Genomic DNA, 27685 nt, shown 5'->3' with positions numbered 1-27685 from the left:
GGTATATGAAATGGTGCTCAACATCATTAATCATCAGAGAAATGAAAATCAAAACTACGATAAGATTCATCTCACCCCAGTTAAAATTGCTTTTATCCACTAGACAGGAAACCACAAATGCTGGCAAGGATGTGAAGAAAAGGAAATCCTTGTACTACACCCCTATCTGTTGGTGGGAAAGTCAATTAGTACGATCGCTATGCAGAAGAGTTTGGAGGTTCCTCCAAAAACTAATACAAGAGCAGCAATCCCAGGTATATACCCACAAGAAAATAAATTAGTATACTGAAGAGATGTCTGCACTGTCATGTTTATTGCAGCACTATTCACAACACTGAAGATTTGGAAACAAGCTATGTGTCCATAAACAGACAAATGGATAAAGAAAATGTGGCTGGGTGTGGCAGCTAACCCCTGTACTCCTACTACTTTGGGAGGCTCAGGTGGGTGGATTGAGCTCAGGAGTTTGAGACCACTCTGAGCAACTCTGTCTCTACTAAAATAGAAAAAATAGCTGGGTGTGGTGGTGGGCGCCTGTAGTACCAGCTACTTGGGAGGCTGAGGCATGAGAATTGCTTGAAGCCAGGAGGCAGAGGTTGCAGTGAGCTGAGATTGTGCCACTGTACTCCAGCCTGGGAGAGGGGAGGAGAGGGGAGGGAGAAAAGAAAAGAAGAAAAGAAAAGAAAAGAAAGAAAATGTGGTACATATACACAATATATACACAATGGAGTACTATGCAGCCAAAGAAAAAAATGAATTTACCATTTGCAACAACATGGGTGAAACTGGAAATCATTATGTTACATGAAATAAGCCAGGCATAGAAAGACAAACTTCACAACTTCTCACTTATTTGTGGGAGCTAAAAATTAAAATAATTTTTTCATGAAGATAGAGAATAGAGTGATAGTTACCAGAGGCTAGAAGCATAGTGAGGGTGTGTTGAAGCAGGGGAGTGGGAATGGCTAATGGGTACAACAAATAGTTAGAAATAATGAATAAGATGTAGTATTTAATCAGGGTGACTATAGTCAATAATAATTTAATTGTACATTTTAAAATAAATAAAAGTATAATTGGAATGTTTGTAACAAAAAGAAATGAAAAATGCTTGAGGTGATGGATACTCCATTTACACTGATGGATTATTATGCACTATATGCCTGTATCACAATACTTCATATATCCTCTATTTATATACATCTAATATGTACCCATAACAATTTTATAAATAAAATAAAATACTTCAACATTTCCTATTTTATCTTGAAAATGCAATCTTGACCCATCTTAGCACAAAAGGCATCATGTAGACTGACTCACATATTTCTTATTGACACTCATTACCCACCAATACAGCATTCTAGCCACACTGAAACTCATTTACTTTCCCTAGTTGCCTATGTATATGTTGGTTCTGATTATTGGAAAATTTTACCTAGCCTTTTAGATTCAGATCATTTCTAGTTACTCTTCATGTTTCTGCTCAATTGTCACCTTTTCCATTTGGTTTTCCTGCACACATCCCCCAACAATGTTCACCATAACAAGGCATATTTAAGCACTCTCTCTTCACTCTGCTCTCTTACCACACTAGCACTTTGTTTTTCTAGACATACTTTTAAATTTGTCTTTTTTTTTTTCATAGAAACATTTGAAAGAAAATGGAATTTATCTTAGGAAATTTGACTCATTCTTACATTCTATGTTCCTGATACACAGAGTAAATAACTACTCCCATTTATGTACAATGATAGCTATACATCTTTGACACAGGGACCACTTATTTTATGGTCTGAACTTTCCACAATACAGTTATGAACTAGAAAAGACCTTTTAGACTAGATATCCAAAACAAGTAAACAGATAAAAAGTGAAAACATGCTTGCAAATAAAAATACACGATTTTTTAAAATAAAAAATATAACAAGCTTTTAAATTCTCATTTGAACTTGAAACAATGCAAGGGGCCAAGAGTGAAGTAGAAACAGAAAACCAGAGTGATCACTTGGTGCAACAACCAGATAACTGAGAGCTTTTGCTGCTCTTTGTTACTTCCAGAGGATAAAGATAGGCCCTGGGCTAGAACAACATAAGATATTGGAATTAAGAACTCTGAATAAAACGAGGATTGTAAAAAATAACACACTTAGAGAACAAAGCTAGAGCGTATGTTTCAGCCAAGAAAAGGAGAGCAAAAAATCTTATCTATCTCATCTTAGATTAAGGTGGAAAAAGATCAAGAATTTGTAAGAAAAGGCCTCATTCATGTATTTTACATTTCGAGTGTAGAGTATTAGTGTTGTCAGGGAAGCTACAAAGCATTTTTCATTTACTAATAAAAAGTAATCAGGATTTATGTTTTCAGCTCTGACACACAAAGACTTTGGGAGTCATCACTCCTGCCCTCACAAGGAAAAGACTAAACAAACTGAAAACCAACAACTTTTCTTAGATCCATCAAAGAATTGAAATCACAGGGCACACCATGGTTCTGATACCTGGAGATACAGGTGAATACAGAGAATCACAGCTGAGGTGAGCTCACCAGAGGGAGCCAGTCATTGATAGGAACACTGACATGGTAATTGACTACAGGAGGTGAGTATGAACTTGCTTCAGAATTAAAAGTTCCTGGGGGCCTAGTCTTAGGGGAATACCTCAAACACTGATGGATTGAGAGTGAGTCTGTTATTTATGGCTTTTATGGTATTGAGGTATGCTCGTTACCTTCAGGAAGTCCACTAGGTTCTCAGAAAGATTGGAGGAAACTTTTCTTATGCTTCAGAAAAGGAAAAAGCCATGTTAAAATAGCCCCATGCCAGGTGCAGTGGCTCATGCCAATAATCCTATCACTTTGGGAGGCAGGTAGACTGCTTGAGATCATTTTGAGTTCCAAAATGATTTGCTTCGACTCCATGTCTCACATCCAGGTCATGCTGATGCAAGAGGTGGGTTCTCATGGTTTTGGGGAGCTCGGTCCATGTGGCTTTGCAGGGTACATCTTCCCTCCTGGCTGCTTTCATGGTCTGGCATTGAGTTTGAGACTTTACCAGGTGCATGGTGCAAGCTGTCAGTGGATCTGCTGTTCTGGGTTCTAGAGGACAGTGGCCTTCTTCTCACAGCTCCACTAGACAGTGCCCCAGTGGGGGACTCTGTGTGGGATCTTCAACCCCACATTTTCCTTCTGTACTACCCTAGCAGAGGTTTTCCATGAGGGTCCTGTCCCTGAAGCAAACTTCTACCTGAACATCCAGGCATTTTCATACATCCTCTGAAATCTGGGTGGAGGTTCTCAAACCTCAATTCTTGACTTTTGTGAAGCTGCCAAAGCCTGGGACTTGTACCATCTGATGTCATGGCCTGAGCTGTACCATGGCTTTTTTAAGTCATGACTGGAGTGGTTGAGACTCAGGGCAGCAAATCGCAAGGCTGCACACAGCAGGGGGGGCCCTGTGCCCCACCCACAAAACTATTTTTTCCCCCCTAGGCCTCTGAGCCTGTGATGGGAAGGGCTCCCACAAAGGTCTCTGACATGCCCTGGAGACATTTCCCCCATTGTCTTGGGGATTAACATTTGTCTCCTCATTACTTACGCAAATTTTTGCAGCCAGCTTGAATTTCTCCTGGGTGGGGACAGAGCCAAACCATATCAGGCAATATGTCTGACTTTCAACAAGAAGTTACAAGAAAACAGGCAAGAAATCTTTAAAAGGCAAGAAGAAACACAGGTTGAAGAGGCAAAACAAGCATCAGGGTCTGGTATGATATAGGTGTTGTAATTATCAAATAGATAACTCAAAATAACTATGATTATTAATATGTTAAGGGCTCTAAAGGAAAAAGCAGATAACATGCAAGAACAAATGGGTAATGTTATCAGAGGGGAAAAAACTCTAACAGGAAATAAAAAGAAAATGCTAGAAATAATAAACACCATAACGGAGTTAAAGACATTTGACAGGCTCACCAGTCTTCCGGACATGACTGAGGAAGAATCAGTGAGCTTGAAGGTATGTCAAAAGAAACTTTCAAAACTGATATGCAAAGAGAAAAAGAATACCAATACAACCAGGCATAGAATACACAGGAACTGTGAAACAATTTCAAAGGTCTAATATATGCCTAATGGAAATAATCAAAGGAGAAGATAGAAAGGAACAGAAGAAATATTTGAAGCAATATGGCTGGCAATTGTCCAAAATTAATGACAGACACCAAACCACAAATGCAGAAACCACAGAAAATACAAAGCAGAATAAATGCAAAGTTATACACTGAGAATATCATATTCAAACTACAGGAAAATAAAGACAAAGAGGAATTCTTGAAAAAACCCTGGAGCTTTTAAAATAATCTTACTTGTAAAGGAATAAGGATGAGAATTACAGGAGACTTGTCTTCAGAAACTAAAAGCAAAGAAGTGGAGTAAAATATTTAAATTATTGAAAGAACAACAAAAAATACCATCCTAGAATTATTTATCCAGTGAATAAAATGATATAGGTCAGAAACTCAGATCTACATTGAGAATGATGAAGTGTCAGAGAAAAAATAAATCAAGGTAAAATAAAATCTTTAGTTTTTCTTATTCTTAATTGCTTTGCTATATAAATAACTGTTCAAATAAAAATGGCAAAAATCTATTCTGATTATAGCTCAAGAAAAAGTAAAATGAATGACAGCAATATTATAAAGAACGGCAGAAAATAACTTGAGAATACTTGGTTTTAAGGTACTTGCACTACTGTGAAGTAGTATAGCATTATTTGAAAGTGGATGTATTAAATATTAGTCTTAAATATATATTGCAAACTTTTGGGCAACCACTAAAATAATATTTCAAAGACACTTATTTATATGCTAAGAGGAGAGAAGATAAATTCACATAAAATGCCCAATTAAATACAGAGAATGCCAGGAAGGAAATTGGAGTAGTTATATTTATTTCATCCAAAGAAGTCTTTGGAACAAGAAAAATTACCTAGGATAAAAGATACAGTATATGATGATGAAAGGATCAATATTTTGAGGAATAGTAATCTATGTGTGTAACACAACAGAGCACTAAGATACACTATACAATAATTGACATAATTTAAAGGAGACGGGCAAATCCACTCTTATAGTTGGAAATATACACCTTTGTATCAGTAATAGATCCAGCAGGCAGAAAATCAGCAACTATAATTAAACTGAACATCACTATCAATCTAATGGATCTGATTAACATGTATAGTATATTTATTCAACAACAGCATGATATACTGTTATTTATTTTGTTGCTTAAATTGTTCCAGCATTGACCATTGTGAGCTTTCCTGAGTCCTATTTTTATGCCCTAAACTTTTTATTTATTTATTATTATTTTTTTGAGTACTCCCTTACTTTCTGGCACTATAAGGTGCTCCAGTTTTATCTTGCATTTTCCCTATCCCATTTCTGAATTAATCATTTCTTCAAAAAGATGATTTTTTTTTAAGAGAATGGTATTAGAAGCCAAGATCTGGGTACTGAGTGTGCTCACTCCTACTGTGCTATGCTTGCTCCAAGACACCCTGGGCAAACAGAAAGAGGCAATAAAAAACACATATGTGTAATTATTTCTGTAAATATTCATCTATACTAAATTAAGCATCAGCATATACTGATGTCTCTGACCATAACCCAGTAACACATGATTAACTTTAGCCTGGAACTCTCCCTTTCCAAGAGTGACCAACCTGGCTGTTATCAACCATACGTTTACTTATTTGTTGAATGCCAGTATACATGGTCTTTTTCTAATGAAATATAATTTAGCTGATTATTATAAAACCCATTAGTAACACAAGACAATGTTTTTTCCTAAAGCTTTGACATATTTGATAAATCAATTAAAAATTAGAACTTTTAGAGTTAAAAATAAAATTTGTTATAATTTGATCCTAAAACTGTCTACAGATCAGATCTTCAAATAGCATTCTTTTAAAAAAAAAAAAAAACTGTATAGCATGCAGCCATATAAAGGAATGAGATCATGTTCTTTCCAGGGACATGGATGGAGCTGGAAGCCATTATTCCCAGCAAACTAACACAGGAAAAGAAAACCAAACACCACATGTTCTCACTTATAAGTGCGAGCTGAACAATGAGAACACATGGACACAGGGAGGGGAACAACACACACTGGGGCCTGTTGTGGGGTTGGGGAAAGGGAGAGCATCAAAATAAATAGTTGATTCATGAAGAACTTAATATCTAGGTGATGGGTTGATAGGTGCAGCAAACCGTGATGGTATACCTTTACCTATGTACAAACCTGCATAAACTGCACATGTATCCTGGAACTTAAAACAGTGTTTTATTAAGTGACTTAAATAGCTATATAGAAGAAAGGTAACTTGCATTCAGATTGGACAATCTCCTATCCCGAGGTTTCCACACATCTTGGCTGCAGAGAAAATAAAAAGAGGAAAGGTACATTTGGATAAAATTAGCTATAATGGCTTCTATTACCATCTCCTGAAAACTCTTCCCAAGAAACTTAACAGCCATGAGGATGCATAGATTTCTGTTTCATGGGTTTCTGAGGTATTGCACCTCATAAGAGGACATTAGCTGCGGGGGCCTGCCCACAGACCCTGACCTAAATGACGGATGAATAAAACACACTGAACCACAGATATTCTGCTTTGCCAGTCCAGCTAAGTGTCCGACTGCCTGCACACAAAGAGAGGTTTGTCACTGCAGCGGGCCCTGAGCAGCTCACACTCCAGTCATTTATTTAGTATACAATTAACAACAGAAGCTCTGAGTCAACACACTTGAGGATAATTAACATGGTTAAGAGAGTTCTAGGAATGATTACAGCTCAGGTACCATGGTCTAAAGTAAATACCATTAGGGGGCAATATCCCTGGTTGACCTCCCCTCAACCCCTCAGAGGGCCATCTAGCTCAAAGGATAGTTAATGGAGGTAGGGTACACAGACTTAACTGGGGAAGCCTCTATTGTCCCTAGTATTTACCCTGTGACCTAATGCTCTAAGGTAAGAACTGGCTGCCTTCAGCCTGTTCAATTATTACAAGCTATGTAAACTTTCCACCTTCCAAAAAGATTTGTGACTATTCCCTAATAATAATAACTTTCCCTAATATTTCCCTTCAATATTTCTGCCACCATCCTGAGTGAATCCCAACAACTCCCTTTTGTTTTCCGTATTAAGTTTTTTTAATTGCAGAGTGCAGATATGTGCAGCCACACGTTTGTCAGGTGAGGTGGTCACTGCTCTTATTCCAGCTTTCCATCCTAGAATTAGCAAATAACATAAGACAATTATGAGTACAATCAGCAACATTCTTTTCTAGTCAAAGAGTGAGCTGTAGTGTTACTTGACACTTCAGTTTGATGAGTGCTGTTACTAAGGAACCCTACTGGGGGTATGTTAACTCCTTCCAGCCAAGCAGTTACTTACTAGAAGCTGGAAAGAGAGTGTTTGCTTAAGTAACAGGGCTGAAAAGGACAGATTTAAGAGACGAGCTTAATAGAGTGTAGCAGGTATAGGTAGTAGGCAAAACGAGAGAATTAAAAATGAATAAATTATTTGGCTTAGCCTTCGGCTTCTTCAGCATAATGTCTGGGGTCTGTGTTGTTCATGGAAGCCACATTGTTGAGGCTGTGGGTCCTGTAGGGTTTTTCTTAGGCTGGCTTGAGTTTTTTCTTCTTTCCTTCCTTTGATGAGGACATAGTCTCCAGGCTGGTGCTCGAAATTCTAGAGGTGGTGCCTGTGCTAAGATTTTTACAATCTTTAAAGAGCAGGTTAGTGCTTTAAGAAAGACTTGTTGTGCTTTATTTTAATGTTTAGTTTACAGAAAACCTGAATGATACCTTTTTAACCGTAGCCAATATGTTTACACATAGAATTTTTTCATAATTAACATTTTAAAACTTTAGACCTTCAAAACAAAAATTATACATTTCCTGCCTAAATTTCTTCATGACTTTCACAGACAATCTTCAACATGCCTTAACTTTCTGGCTGTGTTTCATAATCTTCATTACTAAAGGTACATTCCTATATATTTATAACTTGCTTAATATTTCCTTTCCCTTCTTCCTAGTTTCTTTCCTTAAGTCTTTCTTTTTGCATCACTTTCTGATCTGTATTTTTCTAGTCTTACTCATTCTTTCCCTTTATTTCTCTCTCTAGGTATGGACACAAGCATACTTTCTTCCTCATGTTAATCATTCACTTGGACCACACCATTTATTATTGTTCACATCTTTCCATACAACTGCAGGTTTTATGCCTTGAGAGGTTTTAGCAAAGCGCTTTTCTACAGCTGATTGAAATTTGTCATCTAAATTAAAAAAAAAAAGGGTAAATAAGGCTTGTGCCAGTAGTGTTGCAGGGTCCTTACCTATATTCCTTTTTTTTTTTTTTTTCTGTTTTTTGAGCAAATTTTTAAGGGTGAACTGTGCTCCTTCTACTATTGCCTGTCCTTGGGCTTATACGGGATGCCTGTGGAATGTTCGATATTCCACATGTGACAAAATTGTTGAAAGTGAGCTGGTATAAGCTGGACCATTATCAGTCTTAATTTTTGTGGGCTGTCCTATAAATGCAAAAGTTAAAAGAAGATGTTTAATGACATATTGAGTAGACTTTCCAGGCAAAGCATGTGCATTAATTAAATGAGTGTTGGTATCAATGGATACATGCACATATCTTAGTTTTCCAAATTCAGGGATGTGTGTAATATCTGTTTGCCATAACTGATTGGGTTCCAATCCTCTAGGGTTAACACTTGTTGAAGGAGGGGATGTGCCTGTGAGCTGGCAATCTGGATATTGTAGATAATTTGTTTAGCCAGCCTCTGGGTAAGTTGAAGTTGTTTAGATAAGTTTTTTCAATTTTGGTGGAAAAACAGATGCGATTGAGTGGCTTAGTCAAGTAGTAATGTCATAACTTGAAGGTCTGCTTGATCATCATTGCTATAAGCCAATGGGCCAGGCAGTGAGCTGTGGGCTCCAATGTGTGTAATAAAAATAAGATGTGTACATTGGTCTAGCAATTGCTGAGGCTGGAGAAAAAGAGCACACAGAGTGGGCTCCAGAGCGAACTTAATTGAGGCTGTAAAAGTGCTTTAATAAAATACAGAGTAATCTCAGCTCTGAGTGATAGTAAACTTAGATTGAGTGACTGGATTATGTGGTCTCTACCAAACTGCCGCTTGTCCATGTTTACCAGACCCATCATTAAACAGCGTTAAAGCATTAGGTATGGGGGAGTGCAATACCGCTTCGAATTGCCTTTTACTTAAATGAATCCTGGTGATATCAGGGTCATAACTTAGCAATTTACCGCATTAATCACTAAGCTGGCAAGCTGAAATAAGTAACATGAAGTTTAAAAAGAAAATCTGAAAGCATTTCTAGAAGCAGAGACTTAAATATATTTTAACCATGTGCTTAAAGCCACAGGCAGAATAGCTTACATCTTGTAATCGAGTTTTCAGGCTGACCAAGTTTATGGACTCTAATGTGGCAAACAGTCTTGAAAACAGGGACTCACTAGCTGGGGAACTCAATTCAGGACTCTTTTAGCAAGTACAAATCAAAGACTATCTGTAATCAGTGGGTTAAGACAGTCATTCATGCATATGTTTTCACTACACTTACATAAAACTTTTCTTCACTTTCTGAGAAGGGCACAGCATTTTTACCTTCTAATTTAACATATATCATTTTGAGAGGTGACAGCGTACACCCTGTGTCTAGCTCAAGGTTTGTAAATGCACCAATCAGTGCTCTGTGTCTAGCTAATCTAGTGGGGACTTGGAGAACCTTTATGTCTACCACAGGGATTGTGAATACACCAATCAGCACTCTGTGTCTAGCTCAAGGTTTGTGAATGCACCAATCAGCACCCTGTGTCTAGCTCAAGGTTTGTAAATGCACCAATCAGTGCTCTGTGTCTAGCTAATCTAGTGGGGATTTAGAGAACTTTTGTGTCTAGCTCGGGGATTGTAAATGCACCAATCAGCACCCTGTCAAAACGGACCAATCCACTCTCTGTAAAACAGACCAATCAGCTCTCTGTAAAATGAACCAATCAGCAGGATGTGGATGGGGCCAGATAAGGGAATAAAAGCAGGCTGCCCCAGCCAGCAGTGGCAACCTGCTTGGGTCTCCTTCCACACCTTGAAAGGTTTGTTCTTTAGCTCTTTGCACTAAGTCTTGCTGCTGCTCACTCTTTGGGTCCGCACTGCCTTTATGAGCTGTAACACTCACCTCGAAGGTCCGCAGCCTCACTCCTGAAGCCAGCGAGACCACGAACCCACCAGAAGGAAGAAACTCCGAACATGTCTGAACATCAGAAGGAACAAACTCCAGACGCACCACCTTTAAGAACTGTAACACTCACTGCGAGAGTCTGCAGCTTCATTCTTGAAGTCAGTGAGAGCAAGAACCCACCAATTCCGGACACAACTTGATTAGGCTTAAACTTCTCCTTTAAAGGGTAATGTGTGGTTTTACATGCCTAGCTTTTATATTACTTTCTAACTAATTCATGGCCCTCTGTAATATCTCTCCCTTCAGAGGTTACTGTTTTACTTAAATTGGATTTGGAGAGCTACGTCAGGGGTAGGGGAGGGAGAACAACAGAAGCCATTAGAAAAGAGGTTTTTCTTTTATTTTACTTCTTACATTTTACTTAAATCTTAGCAGAGAATTATAATCACGGATGTCGTTAGTAAACAAGGAGCACATGAGATTTTGCTGTGGGCCGCCTGCAGAGCTACAGAGCTGAGCAGGTGGGTCCCGGGGCGGGGGTTGTCACACTTGTGCCGCTTCTTTCGCGTGTGCTGCCCCCTCCCCCTGCCTAAGGGGAGCTGTTGCCGGCTGGGCGGACTCTGGCGCGCACACTTCTGCTTCTCCACAGTAGGCTAACTCCGTGGCGCTGGGCCTGCCTCCCCATTGCTACTGCCGCCGCGCAGGCCAAGTTCCCCGGGGCATTTACCAGCTCTGTGTTTGCAAGCTTCCTTGCTGCTGAGTCTTTCCTTCCATCTACTGCCTGCCTGGCCGCAAGGCTCCGGCCTCTAATGCTTTTTCTTATATCTTTATGTACCTGACTGCTTTGCCAATCTTGCATTACTGGGCAGGTTAAGAGCTCTCCTTTTAATGCTGCCTGCTTAAGACAGGAACTGATTGCTGTAGCGTATCCTCTTTTTTCTCATCTATCGGAGGAGGCAGCTCAGGTAAAAACCTCCGTTTCCTCTTTTTTATGTTAGCCTGGTGATATTAGGGGCCAGGGAAGAGGAGGTGATAAGGCAGGTGACAATTTTCTCCTTCCTCTTTTTTAGGCTCTTCTGTGTGTAACTGAGCCACGGCAGCTCTACTTAAAGTCCATAACGTTAAAACTGTTACTGGGACCTGTCGCCTTTGCGCCTGATGTTACGGTTTCTCCCTACTTGTTCCCAGAGTTCTACATCTAACATTCTTTCCGGAAACGATGGGCTTTGGGATTTAACAGTTCGCATTACAGCAGTTTGTTTAGCATGGATGATTAGGTCCTTTAATTGAGTCTGCGAAACAGGCTCCGCTAGCCTTAGACAATTGTTTTAATACTGTTATATACTGTTTCTGTTGTGCTGATAACTGTTGTCCCATGATGAAAACTCAGCTTGACCTAACTTCCCCCAGAACTTAGTAACCTCTAGTGGGCACCACTGACATTACTGATTACTCACTGACTTGACCACGTTCCTTTCTTCACCTTCGTTTTCCGGGGGTCCATCGTGTTTCCTGCACGCTTCCTTCGCAGCTTTCCTCACGAGGGTGTTCCTCACACTTCCTTTGTAGCTTGCCTCACGAGGGGCTCCAATTGCGGGGAATCTGTTTCTGCAGACCCCTGACTGGCCTCACACGGGGCACCAGTTGAGGTATTGCTCCTCACGAGAGGGCATTAGCTGCGGGTGTCTACCCGCAGACCCTGACCTAAACGATGGATGAATGAAACGTACACTGACACAGATAGTCTGCTTTGCCAGTCCTGCCGAGTGTCCGCCTGCCTGTACACCAAGAGAAGTTTGTCACTGTGGCCGGCCCTGAGCAGCTCGCACTCCAGGCATTTATTTAGTATACAATTAACAGAAGCTCTGAGTCAACACATTGAGGATAATTAACATGGTTAAGAGAGTAGTTCTACGAATGATTAAAGCTCAGGTACCGCAGTTTAAAGTAAATACCATTAGGGGGCAATATCCGCAGTCGACCTCCCCCCAACCCTGAGAGGGCTATCAGGCTGAAAGGTTAGTTAATGGAGGTAGGGTAAACAGAACTGGGGAAGCGGCTATTGTCTCTAGTATTTACCCTATGACCTAAGCTCTAAGGTAAGAACTGGCTGCCTTCAGCCTGTTCAATTATTACAGGTTATGCAACCTTTTGGCCTTCCAAAAAGGTTTGTGACTATTCCCTATAACTTTCCCTAATATTTCCCTTTAATATTTCTGCCACCATCCTGAGTGAATGCCAACAGGTTTCTCTGTTGGACAGGCAAATTTTTTCCGCAGATTTGAATAGGAATCTCACCTGTTACAGAGAGGTCGGTAAGGTCACTCACGTGTATCTTACTCCTACTTCCAGTCCTACCCTCAACACTAGCTGAACTCCAACATTGCTCCCATTGTGCTGGAGATGAGGTGAGCACTTTTAATGGATTTTACTAAAGGCAGTTGAATCTAATCAGACTAAATAACTAATCAAGTATCATCATAGCCTTATTAGTTAAAATACAGAGAATATACCATTTATTACAAACTGTTTCACAGGAAATCAAATTCTAAAATTTTATTTTAGGTATCATCTGTAAAAGATAAGAAAAAGATGTAAATTAAGAACTCCCTCCCTTGTATGGCTGCTTCTAAAATCTTTCCATTTTAACGAACAGTCTGTGACTTGACCTACATGCTTTCTTTTAAAAACATCTCGTAGCATTCTAACGTTTCAAAGATCCCCTGAAAACTTGCATTACAAGCTCCTCAGCATCAGCTTCCTATACATTATTCCAACTTGTTTCACTTTCCTAAAGACAGAATGTGTAAAAAACATTACAGGTTTTTGGGGCAGAAGTAGGCAAACTTCAACTAGAAGGCATATATTAACAGCCCAAGTGCCCCCACGTCTAAGAAAGAGGTTCCAGGGCTGAGGCCCAGGCCATGCTAGAGAGGACGTGGCTATGGCTGGTTGGATGGCAGAATAGTCACTTTGATGCTCTGTAGGTAGAACTTGCTGGACATCCATCCTGTAGAACACCAGAGAAAGTTGTTCAAGGGGAGATGTTTCACTGCAAACACTCTACTACAAAACTGCCCAAGGGAAGTGCTCAGGTAAATGCTGGGTGCTGTACACTGCAGGAGATAGGTGCTAGAGAAGCCATGCATAAATCATTTTCCAAGATGAATTGTTGCCTCTTTATTTTCTACTGGAACGATTACTAAACCGATCTCCCAGGAGAATGAGCTGCAGAGGCTAAGCTGCAAGAGCCTACCCAGAGAGCACACCAGAACCAAGAAGCCCATCTCCTAACCTCTTACAATGTCTCTTCAACACCCTCTAATAACAATGCTCACTGTCAGCCAACAACAGAAAAATAATATTTATAGGGCCCATGTGCATTTTTTGCAGAGCAGGCAATGAAGAATGAACTTGAAGCTAACAGGCAATAAATAGTAACTGTCACAACTCCAGTGCAAATGTAGTTTATGAGATCTAGAAGGTTGGCCTTTATGTGGCTCCATTGTTCCCATGATTTTCCACCTACATCTCCAGATTTAACTTTTGAATTTAATTTTTGAAGCTGTTAACTTTGAACTTTGTCCAATGTTACCTTGAACTGGTAAGGCTATGACTTTTTGCTACTGGAGCTGATAGGTGGGGACCATCCTCAGACCAAAAAAAAAAGCCATATACATATAATTCTTTATCATAGTCATCTTTCAAAGGCAACCTTTCCTATTGTATCTGTCTCCTTTTTAAATGTCTTGTTTCAAACAGTTTAAAATATTTTTTCAATTTTTATAATTATTTTTAGAAGGGTTCACTGGACCACTTTCGGCCAGCATGGCAAGAAGTCTGAGGTTTTTGTTTTTAAGTAGGTTCTCGGTAGAATAGATTTCAACAGAATCCTTTTTTTCTTTGGCTTGCAATAAAAATGGAAGTGTCCAAGTTCATGCAACGTCATGAATCATTTTCCAAGATGAATTGTTGGCTCTTTATTGTTTTCTGGAACGATTACTAAACCGATCTCTCTAGTTAATAACACTGATTTTTGCCCAAGATATTCTGTTCACCAAGAATTTGTGGTCTCTCTTCATAGAATAGGCTGGTTGCTAGGAAGGGACTGCCTCACCAGGGACTAAATTTTTCAAGCTTCCATTTCTCATGGGACTATATTCTTAAAGAATGTAGGAAGACACAATTTGTGTCACATTTAGTCTCCCAAAGTAAGTGACCAATTTTTGAATATTCAAAATGGCTACTGCCTTCACACATTAGGTGGTTGTAACAAATCGGCAAGAAACATGTAACAAATAGTATTATGAGAGGTGAGTCCGGGACTGCCTATTGTCAAAACTCTGGCAGTATTAGTACTAGAGAAAGTTTTCAAATTAATTTAGGAAAGAGTTTAAAAAAATAGAATTACAATTTCCTTTTTTTTTTTCTTTGTCATAGGTGATCATGAAACTGCCATCTAGGCATAGAAGGCACTAGAGGGCAAGATTACATCACATATCCCATTACAAATTATCATATTCTGTGCTTAACTGGGAGTTCATGGCTGAAATGCCTGTGCTCTCTTCAGATCAAATGGAAAATATGTGGTGTGCTCAGTTGGATGTGAGGGGAGTTGGAGTTTATGAGCCCAAATAATGTCTCTTTTTAACCAAATATGCCTTTAGACACTATAAGTTGGGTCTAAACACAACATATTACTTACATGAAGCATTCATCTTGTATTCTAAATCTTACTTGCTAAAATAGATGGTCTTTTGATATATTAATGGATTGGAGACAGAAAAGTCAAATCTGTAAGATGAAAGATTTTCATCTTCACTGCAGAATGGAAGTGGATTGAGAATGAACATGGATGCATATACACTTAATCTTTGGAGAGCTAAGTGGAGCTTCATTATATGTGAAGAACACATATAAGGAATCATATTTCAGTTAATCACTTTATATACTAGCTTAATTAACTTTTCAGCCATCTTTCCATTTTCTTTGTAATAATACAAAATTTTGTTACCTTTATAGTGATCTAATTCTGTAAAGGGAATAAAATTTTTGTCTGTAGCAACCCAATATAAGTTGAAACTTGATCAACAAGGCTCAGTTCTCAACTAATTATATATTGATTTGTTTTCATCAAGAATATAAAGATGTTTTGTTTAGAGGTTTGCATTAAAATATATATACACATATGGTTACAGTGTGTATTACTGATGTATCTATTCCTGCCTTTCATTTTATTTCTAGCGAAGTTTCTCTTCCTCCTGCTTTGCTTTTTTTCTTTGTATGGGTATCCACTCTTCCTATATTCCCCTGTGGGTCAGGAAAAGCTGACCTCACCTCCAAATGCTAGGTTGGACCTGATTGAAATAATAACCCCACCTTCCCTTGTAGTGACTGGTTTAAGAATCATGTGACCCACTTTGAAACAATGAGATATGAGGAGACGTTTACTGGGAATTCATGCCACAATTAATCTGTTATCTTCTAAAAATAATTTAAGTGACACTTAGTCTGTTCTAGGTGATTACCATGAATTGATGTGAATCCTGGAATTGGTTCTGCAAACATAACAATCTCAGGATGAAACCAACACATGAAAAGAGCAAGAGCCGAAAAAGTTACTAGGAAAGGAGTGAGAGATACTGGATTTACTGTGATTTATTTTAGTCTACAGTAAATATCAAGTTTTTTGTTTAAGCTAGTTTTATATTAATTGTTCCTGAGGGTATATAAATGGTAGACTGAAAGTAATTTTTCTAAATATGACAAGTTTTCCCAAACAAGTATTACTTTCTATTTTTTTTCTCTCAAGTATCTGAAAGATCAGAGAGTAGGTCTTTTAAATTATTCTAGAGCTTGCCTTTGTCTTGTGGCTTTCCCTCTAATCACAGACAGTTATCAAGACGACGTGTATTCTTGATGCCAGCATGTGAAAAATTAATTTCTGCTAGAAATTGAACTTTGCACTTTTATATCTCAAAACTTGAAAGGAGAAATGTTATCACTTCAACTAAAGAAAATTTCTAATAGCTTTTTACTACTTATGTTGCTGTTTCCTAAACAGATCCTTTTGTCGCAAAAAAAAAAAAAAAAAGGTAACATAATTTTGTTTTTCAATCCCAGGTGTTGCCATGGATTTTATGTATACAAGTCACTTGAATTTGAGAGCTCAAAGGGTTCTAACCATTATCTACACTGCACAGTTAAATTCCTATTAATAAGATAAAGTACTGTTGGAAAACCAATATATCATGGTCTATTTTGGCATTAATTTGAATTACTGATCTAGATGTCACAGGCTATTGATATATTGTTCATTATGAGACAGTCCTTTATTGTCTTCATAATACATCAATCTGTGCACCACAGAAACTTGACCGTGAATTTAAAAGTAAAATATCTGCTTATTGAAATACTAAAATACAAAGTAGTCTCCTCTGTACTGGTGAATAAGAGATTTGTTACATAGGGAAGTGTATGAAGAAATGAGAATAAGACAAAGTCCTTGCCAACAAAAAAGATAGTAGATTAGTGAAGACTGAAAGCAAATATGGACCAAAAAAATTCAAAATAAGGGACAAAGTTGTGTTTGGTTTTCATTTTGTTTAATTTTCATTTGTGTTTTGTGTGTGTAAATTTTTTCTCAATCTCTGTTGTAAGAAAATATTTGGCTGGGCGTGGTAGCTCATGCCTGTAATCCCAACACTTTGGGAGGCCGAGGTGGGCAGATCACTTGAGGTCAGGAGTTCAAGACCAGCCTGGCCAACATGGTGAAACACCATCTCTAGTAAAAATACAAAAATTAACCGGGTGTGGTGGTACACACCTGTAATTCTAGCTACTCAGAAGGCTGAGGCATGAGAATCGCTTGAACCTGGGAGGTGGAGGCTGCAGTGAGCTGAGATCATACCACTGCACTCCAGCCTGGGTGACAAAATGAGACTTTGTCTCAAAAAAAAATTTATGACTTTATTATGATGTTTACTGTTAACTGCCTCAGTATTATTCCACTACTCACTCAATGGATCAACATACCAATGTCATATGCAAATCTGGATGCTTCACTTGGGAGCGTTATAAACATGTAAACCCTTGAGTATTTAATTTCATTAATTATAACTTAATAGATCCATAGTGAGACTTGAAAAAATCTATTGTGATGATTAATTTTGTATGTCATCTTGACTGGACTAAGAGATTCCCAGATAGTTGATAAAATATCATTTCTGGGTATTTCCAGAGGAGATCACCCTTTGAATCAGTAGACTGAGTAATGCCCAATATGCTCATGAGCAAAGTGGAAATGGTGGCAGGCATGGAGGTTATACATAAGCTCAGCAACATGGACTTTCACTCACGAAGGAAATAACCTAGCTACCACCACCAAAGAGTGCCCAATCTGCCAGCAGCAGATACCAACATGGTGCCTCCAATATGGCACCATTCTCTAAGGTGATCAGCGCCTCCAATATGGCACCATTCTCTAAGGTGATCAGCTAGCTATCTCATGTCAGGTTGATTACACTGGACTACTTCCATCATGGAAGAGGCAACGTTTTGTCTTTACTGCCATGGACACTCTGGATATGGATTTATCTTTCCTCCACCCGGTGCTTCTACCAAAACTACCATTGGAGGACTTACAGAATACCTTATCCATCATCGTGGTATTCTACATAACGTCGCTTCTGACCAAGGAACTCACTTTGCAGCCAAAGAAAAGCAGTAATTAGTCTATGCTCATGAAATTCCCTAGTTACCATGTTTCTCACCCTGAAGCAGCTGTCCTGATGGAATGAAGAAATGGCCTTTTGGATATTCAATTCCAGTGTCAGCTAGGTCACAATACCTGCAGCCCTGCAGAAAGATTCTCTAGAAGGCTGTGTATGTTTTTAATCAGCATCCAATATATTTGTTTCTCTGATAGCAAGGATTCATTGGTTCTGGAATCAAGAAGTGAAAATGGAAGAGGTACCATAATCGTTAGCCCTAGTAATCCACTAGCAAATATTTTGCTTCCTTGTCCTATCACTTTATGCTCCACTGGCCTAGAAGTTTTAGTTCTCTAGGGAGAAGTACTTCTATCAGGAGACACAAAAAATGATTCCACTGAACTAGAAGTTAAGACTGCCACATGGCCTCTTGCGGTCCTTATGCTCTGAGTCAACAGGCCAGTAAGGGAGTTACATATATTGGCTGGATTGAGTGATCCAGACTACTAAGAGAAAACTGGACTGCCACTCTACAATGGAGGTAAGGATGAGTATGTCTGAAATATAGGTGATGGCTTAGTGCATCACTTAGTGTTATCATGCCCTGTAAATTAATGTTAGTGGAACACTACAACAACCCAATCCTGGTGGGACTACAAATACCCAGATTCAGGAATGAAGATTTTACTCCACAAAGTCAAAAGCCACAACCAGCAGAGGTTCTTGCTGAAGGCAAAGGGAATACAGAATGGGAAGTAGAAGATAATCACAAATACAAGACCACAAAACTAGTTACAATAATGAAAATTGTAATTGTCATGAGTATTTCCTCCTTGTTACAAGTATGTGTGCATATACATATATTGAGCAAATACTTTTATTTTCTCTCATTCCCTTATGTAACATAAGATGTATTATCTTTAGATCAATATTAACTACTGTCAATTTTACATTGTATTTGTTATGGCATATCATGGAAAGAGTAAAGATCACTGAAGAACTTTACCTCCTATTCTGGAGAAGGAATTAGTGTATTTCTGGTTGTAGGCAGGACAGTTGTATCATGTTAGATGTAATCATTCATTATTTTTTATTTGGGGATTAATTAAGGTTCAAGGCGATGCATAAGGTGTCAAATTGACAAGGGGTAAATTTATGATGGTTAATTTTATGTGTCAACTTCAATGGGTTAAGGGAAGCCTTGATAGCTGGTAAGGAATGATTTCTGTGTGTGTCTGTAAGAGATCAGTATTTGAACCAGAAGACTGAGTAAAGAAGCTACCCACTCACCAATGTGAGTGGCATTATACAATCTGTTTTGGGCCCAGATAGAAAAAAAAGGCAGAGAAATGGTGAATTAACTCTCTCTCTTTCTCCTTGAGCTGGGCATCTGTCTTTTTCTGCCGTCAACATTAGTGCTCCTGTTTTCAGGTTTGAACGTGGGACTTATATCAGCACCCCCAACTCCAACCCACAGACTGGGAGTTAGTTATACTTTTTAGTCCCCTGGTTCTCAGGCCTTTGGACTGGGACTGTATTATATCAGTTGCTTTCCTGGTTCTCCAGCTTACAGACATCGTGTCACGGGACCTCTCAGCTTCCATAATTGCAGGAGCCAATTCCATAACAAATCTCCTGTTACCTCCATATCTATCTGTCTGTACTCTCTGGGTTCTGATTTTGCAGAGAACCTTGACTAATACCTCTGTTTAACAAGTCACCCATTTCGTTTTAATCAGCAGAATTTGTCATTTAGCAACAGCTATTTAATATTAGCCTGATTATTTACTGCTATTGATATTCTACTGGATGCATAGTAGAAAAATATATAACATATATATATACACATTATTTTAAATTTTATTTTTCTAATTTAGTATATGTTTATTGATTTTCTGGGATTGTATTTTATTCACAATATGAAGTCACTGACTTTTTTATTACATTTTTAAGTTTTATGAGTACATAGTAGGTGTATATATTTATGGGGTACATGAGATATTTTGATACAGACATAGAATACATAATCACATCAGGGTAAATGGGGGTATTCATTACTTCAAGCATGTATCATTTCTTTATATTACAAACATTCCAGTTACAATCTTTTGGTTATTTTGAAGTGTACTATAAGTTACTGTCGAGTATAGTCATCCTGTTGTGCTATCAAATACTAGATCTTATTTATTCTACATAACCATATTTTTGTACTGATTAACCATCCCCACAAGCCCCTCACTCTCCCTATCCCAGCCTCTGGTATCCAGCATTCTATTCTCTATCTCCATGAGTTTAATTGTCTTAACTTTTAGCTCCCAAATATGAGTAAGAACATAAGAAGTTTGTTTTCTGTCCCTGTCTTATTTCACTTAACATTATATCCTCCAGTTTCATCCACAATGCTGCAATGATGCAAATAACAGGATATCATTCTTTTTTATGGGTGACTAGGACTCTATTGTGTACATGTTCCACATTTTCCTTTCCATTCATCTGATGATGGACAATTAGATTAATTCCACATTGTGGCCATTGTGAACAGTGCTACAATAAACATGGGAATGCAGATATCTCTTCAGTATACACATTTTCTTTCTTTTTGGTATATACCTAGGAGTGAGATTGTTGGATCACCTGGTGGTTCTATTTTTAGTTTTTTGAGGAACCCGCATGCTGTTCTCCATAGTAGTTGTACTAATTCACATTCCCATCAACAGTGTTTGAGGGTTTCCTCTTCTTTACATCCTTGCCAGCATACGTTATTTCCTGTGTTTCTGATAAAAGCCATTTTAACTGGGGTGAGATGATATTTCATTGTCATTTTAATTTCATTTCTCTGATGACCAATGGTGTTGAGAAGGTTTTTATATGCCTGTTTGCCCATTATGTGTCTTTTTTTTTTTTTTTCAAAAAAAAAAATCTATTCAGATATTTGGCCCATTTTTAAATAAGTTTATTAGAATTTTTCCTATTGAGTTGTTTGAGCTCCTTCTATATACTGGCCATTAATCCCTTGTCTGATGGATAGGTTGGATATATTTTCTCTCATATTGTACATTGTCACTTCACTTTGTTGATGTTTCCTTTGCTGTGCAGAAGCTTTTTAACTTGGTGTGATCCTGGTTGTTCATTTTTGCTTTGGTTACATGTGCTTTTGGGGTATTATACAACAAATCTTTGCCTAGACAATGTACTAGAGAATTTCCACCATGTTTACTTTTAACAGTTTCATGTCTTAGATTTTAGTTTTTAATCCATTTTGATTTGATTTTTGATATGGTGAGAGATAGAAGTCTAGTTTCATTTTCTGCATATGGATATCCAGGTTTTCCAGCACCATTTATTGAAGAGACAGTACTTTCCCTGATGAATGTTCTTGGCACCCTTGACGAAAATGAGTTTACTGTAGATGTATGGATTGATTTTTGGGTTCTCTGTTCTGTTACATTGGTCAATGTGTCTGTTTGTATGCCAGTATTACAATGTTTTGGTTACTGTAGCTCTGTAGTATAATTTGAAGTCAGATAATGTGATTCCTCCAGTTTTGTTCTATTGCTCATGATAGCATTGCCTATTTTGTGTCTTTAGTGCTTTGAAGCAGGTCATTGATATTTTCGTAGAGATTGCATTAAATTTATAGATTTCTTTGGGTAGTATAGACATTGAAACGATATTGTTTCTTCCAATCCAGGAACACAAAATATCTGTCCATGTTTTTGTCCTCTACAATTTCTTGCATCAATGCTTTATAGTTTTTATTGTGGAGATCTTTCACTTCTTGTGTAAGTTTATTCCTGCAAATTTAGTTTAATTTGTGGCTATTGTAAATAAGATTACTTCCTGGATTTCTTTTTCAGATTGTTTGCTGTTGGCATGTAAATATGCTACTGAATTTTGGATGTTGATTTTGTACCCTGCAACTTTATTGAATTTGTTTAGCAGTTTTAATAGTTTTTTAATGGAATCTTTAGGTTTTTCCAAATGTAAGATTGTATCATCTGCAAACAAGGATAATTTGACTTCTTCCTTTCCAATTTGGATGTCCTTTATTTCTTTCTCTTGTCTGATTGCTCTAACTAGGACTTACAGTACTCTGTTGAATAGCACTTGTGAAAGTGGGCATCCTTGTCGTGTTCCAGATCTTAGAGGAAAGGCTTTCAATTTTTCCCATTTAGTGTACTAGCTGTGGGTCTGTCATATATGGAATTTATTATGTTGAGGTATGCTCCTTCTAAACCTAATTTTTGAGGGTTTTTATCAGGAAGAAATGATGAATTTTATCAAATGCTTTTTCATCATCAATGAAGATGATCATATGGTTTTTGTCCTTCATTCTCTTGGTGATATGGTTTGGCTCTGTGTCCCCAGGAAAATCTCATGTTGAATTGTAATTCCCATGTGGTGGAGGAGGGCCTGGTGGAAAGCAATTGAATCATGGGGGTGGATTTCTCACTTGCTGTTCTCATGATAATGAATGAGTTCTCACAAGATCTGGTCGTTTAAAGGTCTGCACTACTTTCTCCTTCACTCGTTCTCCTGCCACCATGTGAAGATGTGCTTGCTTTCTCTTTGCCTTTCTGCCATGATTGTAAGTTTTCTGAGGCCTCACCAGCCATGACTCCTGAATAGCCTGTGAAACTTTGAATCAATTAAACCTCTTTTTTTTTCTTTATAAGTCACCCAGTCCTAGGTATTTCTTTATAGCAGTGTGAGAACAGACTAATATGGAAAATTGGTAACAGGAGTTGGATATTGCTATAAGGATACTGAAAAATATGAAAGTGACTTTGGAACTGGGTAATATGCAGAAGTTAAAACAGTTTGGAGGGCTCACAAGAAGATAAGACAATGAGGAAAATTTTGGAACTTCCTAGAGACTTGTTTAATAATTTTGTCCAAAACACTGATAGCGATATGGACAATGAAATCCAGGATGAGGTGATCTCAGACGGAGATGAGGAACTTACTGGGAACTGGAGCAAAGATCAGTGTTGCTATGCTTTAGAAAAGAAACTGGCAGCATTGTGCCCCTTCCCTAGGGATCTGTGGAACTTTGAAATTAAGAGAAATTATTTAGGTTACCTGGTAGAAGAAATTTCTAAGCAGCAAAGCATTCAGACCTGGCTGCTTCTCAAAGCCTACTGTCATTTGCATAAGCAAAGATAACTTATATTTAAAAGGAAACCAGAGCATAAAACTTTGGAAAATGTGTAGCGTGACCATGTGGTAGAAAAGAAAACTCAATTTTCTAGGAAGGATTTCAAGGGTGCAGAAATTTGCATAAGTAAAGGAGAATTGAATGTTAATAGCCAAGATAATGGGGAAAATGCCCCCAAGGCATTTCAGAGTCCTTCATAGCAGCCCCTTCCATCACAGGCCTGGAGGCCTAGGAGAGAGAACTGGTTTAGTGGGCCAGGCACAGGGCCCTGCTGCTCCATGCCATCTCAGGACATGGTGCTTTGCATCCCAGCTGCTCCAGCTCCAGCAATGACTAAAAGAGGACAAATTACATGTTGGACTATTGCTTCAGAGCATGCAAGCCCCAAACCTTGGCAGCTTCCACATGTGGTTGGGCCTGAGGTGTGCAGAAGGCAGGTGTTAAAGTTTGGGAAGCCTCCACATAGATTTCAGAGGATGTATTGAAACGCCTGGATGTCCAGTCAGAAGTCTGCAGCAAGGGTGGAGCCCTCATGAAGAAACTCTGCTAGGGCAGTGCAGAAGGAAAATGTGAGGTTGGAGTCCCCACTGGGGCACTGCCTAGTGGAGCTGTGAGAAGAGGGCCACTGTCTTCCAGACCACAGAATGGTACATCCACTGACAGCTTGCATCATTCACCTGGAAAAGCCACAGGCACACAACACCAGCCCATGAAAGCAGTCATGGGTGCTGTAACCTGCAGAGCCACAGCAGCAGAGCTGCCCAAGGCCTTGGGAATCCATCACTTGCTTCAGTGCATCCTGGATGCAAGACATGAAGTCAAAGGAAATTATTTTGGAGCTTTAAGATTTAATAACCACCCTGCTGGGTTTTGGCCTGAAGCCACTTTGTTTTGGTCAATTTTTCCCTTTTGGAAAGGGAATATTTACCCACTGCCTATACGTGAATTGTGTCTTGGAAGTAACTAACTTGTTTTTGATTTTACAGGCTCATAGGCCAAAGAGACTTGCCTTGTCTCAGATGAGACTTTGTACTTGGACATTTAAGGTAATGCTGGAATGAGTTAAGACTTTAGGGGACTGTTGGTAAGGTATTATTGTGTTTTGATATGTGAGAAGGACATGAGATTTGAGAGGGGCCAGGGGCAGAGTGATATGGTTTGGATTTTTTTCCCACACAAATCTCATGTTGAATTGTAATCCCCACATGTTGGAGGAGTGGTCTGGTTTGAGGTGATTGAATTATGGGGCCTAACTTCCCCCTTCCTGTTCTCATTATAGTGAATGAGTTCTCAGGAGGTGTGGTTGCTTAAAATGTGTGCCACTTCCCCCTTCACTCTTTCTCTTGCCCCCATGTGAAGACATGCTTGCTCTCCCTTCACCCTTCTGCCATGATTGTAAGTTTCCTGAGGCCTCTCAGCCATGCTTTCTGTACAGCCTGTGGAACTGAGTTTATTAAACCTCTTTTTTTTCTAAGTTACCCAGTCTCTGTTTGTTCTTTATAGCAGTGTGAGAACAAACTAATACAGTTGTTATGATGTAGCACATTGATAGATTTGCATACATTGGACCATCCTTGCATCCCTGGATGAATCCCATTTGCTTATTGCTTAAGGCCATGGGAGCCTACCTCATGCATCAGCATGACCTGGATGTGAGACATGGAATCAAAGGAGATCATTTTGGAACTTTAAGGTTTAATGACTGCCCTATTGGATTTTGGCCTTGCATGGGGCCTATAGTGCTTTTGTTTTGGCCAATTTCTCCTACTTGTATCAGGTGTATTTACCCAATGCCTCTACCCCCATTGTAACTTGGAAGGAATTAACTTATATTTCATTTTATCAACTTATAGGCAAAAGGGACTGGCCTTGTCTCAGATGAGATTTTGGACTTGGACTTTTGAGTTAATGCTGGAATGAGCTAAGACTTTGGGGACTATTTGGAAGGTATGACTGTGTTTTGAAATGTGAGGACATGAAATTTGGGAGGAGCCATGAGTGGAATAATATGGTGTGGCCATGTCCCCACCCAAATCTCATTTTGAATTGTAGTTCCCATAATCCCCACATGTCATGGAAGGGACCCAGTAGAAAGTGATTGGATCATGGGAGCAGTTTTCTCTATGCTGTGCTCGTGTTAGTGAGTTCTCATGAAAACTGATGGTTTTATAAGCATCTGGCATTTCTCCTGCTTGCACTCATTTTCTCCCTGCTGCCCTGTGAAGAGGTGCCTTCTGCCATGACTGTAAGTTTCCTGAGGACTCCCCAGCCATGAGGAACTATGAGTCAATTAAAACTCCTTCCTTTATAAATTACCCAACCTTGGGTATTTTGTCATAGCAGCGTGAGAATGAACTAATACAGTTATGATGAATGATCTTTTGAATGTGTTGTTCCATTTAGTTTGCTTGTATTTTTTGAAGATATTTACATGAATGTGCATCAGAGATAGTGGCCTATAGTTTTCTTTCTTTTTTTATGTGTCTTTGTCTGGTGTTGCTATAAGGATAATAGAGATTTTATAGAATGAGTTTGGAAGTATTATCTCATTCTCTATTTTTCAAAATAGTTTGAGTATGATTGGTATTAGTTCTACTTTAAATGTTCAGTAAAATGCCCCAGTGAGGCCACTGAGTCCCAGGTTTTCTTTGGTTGGAGACATTAGCAGGTCTTCAATCTCATTACTCGTATTGGTCTATTCAGTTTTTGAATTTCTTCATGGTTCAGTTTTGGTAGGTTGTATGTTCCTAGAAATTTATCCATTTCTTCTAGGTTTTCCAATTTATTGGCATATAATTACTCATAGCAGTTTCTAATAATCTTTTGAATTTCTATAGTAGAAGTTGTATTGTCCTTTTCATCTCTGATTTTATTTATACAAGTCTTGCTCTTAATGTGTCTAAAAGTTTGTTGATTTTGTGTATCTTTTTAAAACATTTCATTGATCTTTTATATTTTTTAAAATGTCAATTTTATTTATTTCTGCTCCATTATTTATTATGTCTTTTCTACTACTAATTTTGGATTTGGTTTGCTCTTGCTTTTCTAGTTCTTTAAGATGCATTATTAGATTGTTTATTTGATTTTTTTTAACTTTCTTGAAATAGGCACTTAGTACTGTAAATTTTCCTTGGTATTGCTTTTGCCATACCCCATAGTTTTTGGTGTGGGTTTTTTTCCATTTTCATATGTTTCAAGAAATCTATCAGTGTTCTTATTAATTTCTTTATTGACTCACTGGTCATTCAGGAGCATATTGTTTAATTTCCATGTGTTCATATTGTTTCCAAAGTTCCTCTTGTTAGTGATTTCTAGTTTTATTACATGTGGGAAGAAAAGACATTTAATATGATTTTAAATTTTGAATTTTTTAAGTCTTATTTTTTAGTGTAGCCTAACATACGATCTATCATTATTAATGATTCATGTGCTGAGGAGAAGAATGTGTTTTCTACAGATGTTGAGTGAAATGTTCTATAAACATTATTTGGTCTGTAATGGAGATTAAATCCAATGTTTCTTTGTTGATTTTCTTTCTTTTTTTTTTTTTTTCTTTTTGAGATGGAATCTTGCCCTGTTGCCCAAGCTGGAGTGCAGTGGCACAATGTTGGCTCACTGCAACCTCTGCCTCCTGCGTTAAAGCAATTTTTCTGCCTCAGCCTTCCAACTATTTGGGATTACACTCATACGCCACAATGCCTGGCTTTTTTGTTTTTTTCTTTGATTTTTAATACAGACAAGGTTTTGCTATGTTGGCCAATCTGGTCTCAAACTCCTGACCTCAGGTAATCCATCCCCCTTGGCCTTCCAAAGTGCTGGGATTACAGGCTTGAGCCACCAAGCCCAGACTCTTTGTTGATTTTCTGTCAGTATAATCTGTCCAGTGCTGAAAGCGGGGGGTTGAAGTCTCCAGCTCTTATTGTATTAGGGTCTATCTCTCTCTTTAACACTAACAATATTTGCTTTGCATTTCTGGGTGCTTCAGTATTGTATTGGGTGCATATATATTTATAATTGTTATATCCTCTTGCCGAATTGACCACTGTATTCTTATGTAATGACATTCATTGTCTTTTTTTAGAAATAGTTTCTGTCTTGAAATCTATTTTGTTTGTATAAGTGTAGCTACTCCTGTTCTTTTTTGGTGTCTATTTGCACAGAATATCTTTTTTCATTCTTTTATTTTCAATACATGCTTATCTTTATAAACAGTGAAGTGTGTTTTTTGTAGGCAACAATGAACATAAAATTAAACAAATAATAACGAATTTTAATGTACATAGCACTTAATGTCCTGTTGTCTCATATCAACTTTTTAAATCAACATTTCAAATGGGTATTTCATGCTTAATTGTGATAATAAGATATGTCAAGTAAATGGATCTGTTTGTAATGACACTAGTACAGAGGTGAAAAAATCAGGATTATTACATCTTATTTCACATAAAAGTTAATTTATTTTACCTATCTCTCTCTCTCTGTCTTCCAGGAAGCTACCCATTAACTATAAAATAAAATCAAATTATTAGTTATCTAT

General features: G+C 38.2%; 1 long non-coding RNA gene across 1 annotated transcript in view, besides 2 other annotated features; it reads left to right on the top strand.

The window, feature by feature from the left end:
• Positions 10400–10922: an enhancer, noted in NCBI's record as "H3K4me1 hESC enhancer chr2:167467227-167467749 (GRCh37/hg19 assembly coordinates)". NCBI's record gives its function as "activates a minimal SCP1, AML or CMV promoter by ChIP-STARR-seq in naive H9 embryonic stem cells {active_cell/tissue: H9 hESC(naive)}" and the evidence as "EXISTENCE:reporter gene assay evidence [ECO:0000049][PMID:30033119]".
• LOC107985958 (uncharacterized) overlaps positions 10421–27685 on the top strand; it is a 42302-nt gene continuing 25037 nt past the window's right edge. The window contains exon 1 of the long non-coding RNA XR_001739762.1: positions 10421–10504. This is a non-coding gene — a long non-coding RNA (uncharacterized LOC107985958). The remainder of the gene's footprint in view (positions 10505–27685) is intronic.
• Positions 11997–12577: an enhancer, noted in NCBI's record as "OCT4-NANOG hESC enhancer chr2:167465572-167466152 (GRCh37/hg19 assembly coordinates)". NCBI's record gives its function as "activates a minimal SCP1, AML or CMV promoter by ChIP-STARR-seq in primed H9 embryonic stem cells {active_cell/tissue: H9 hESC(primed)}" and the evidence as "EXISTENCE:reporter gene assay evidence [ECO:0000049][PMID:30033119]".

Source organism: Homo sapiens, chromosome 2 (genome assembly GCF_000001405.40).
Source record: "Homo sapiens chromosome 2, GRCh38.p14 Primary Assembly".
Classification (NCBI taxonomy): Eukaryota; Metazoa; Chordata; class Mammalia; order Primates; family Hominidae; genus Homo; species Homo sapiens.
The sequence above is the reverse complement of the archived record's forward strand: the minus strand, read 5'-3'. Positions and strand labels throughout refer to the sequence as shown.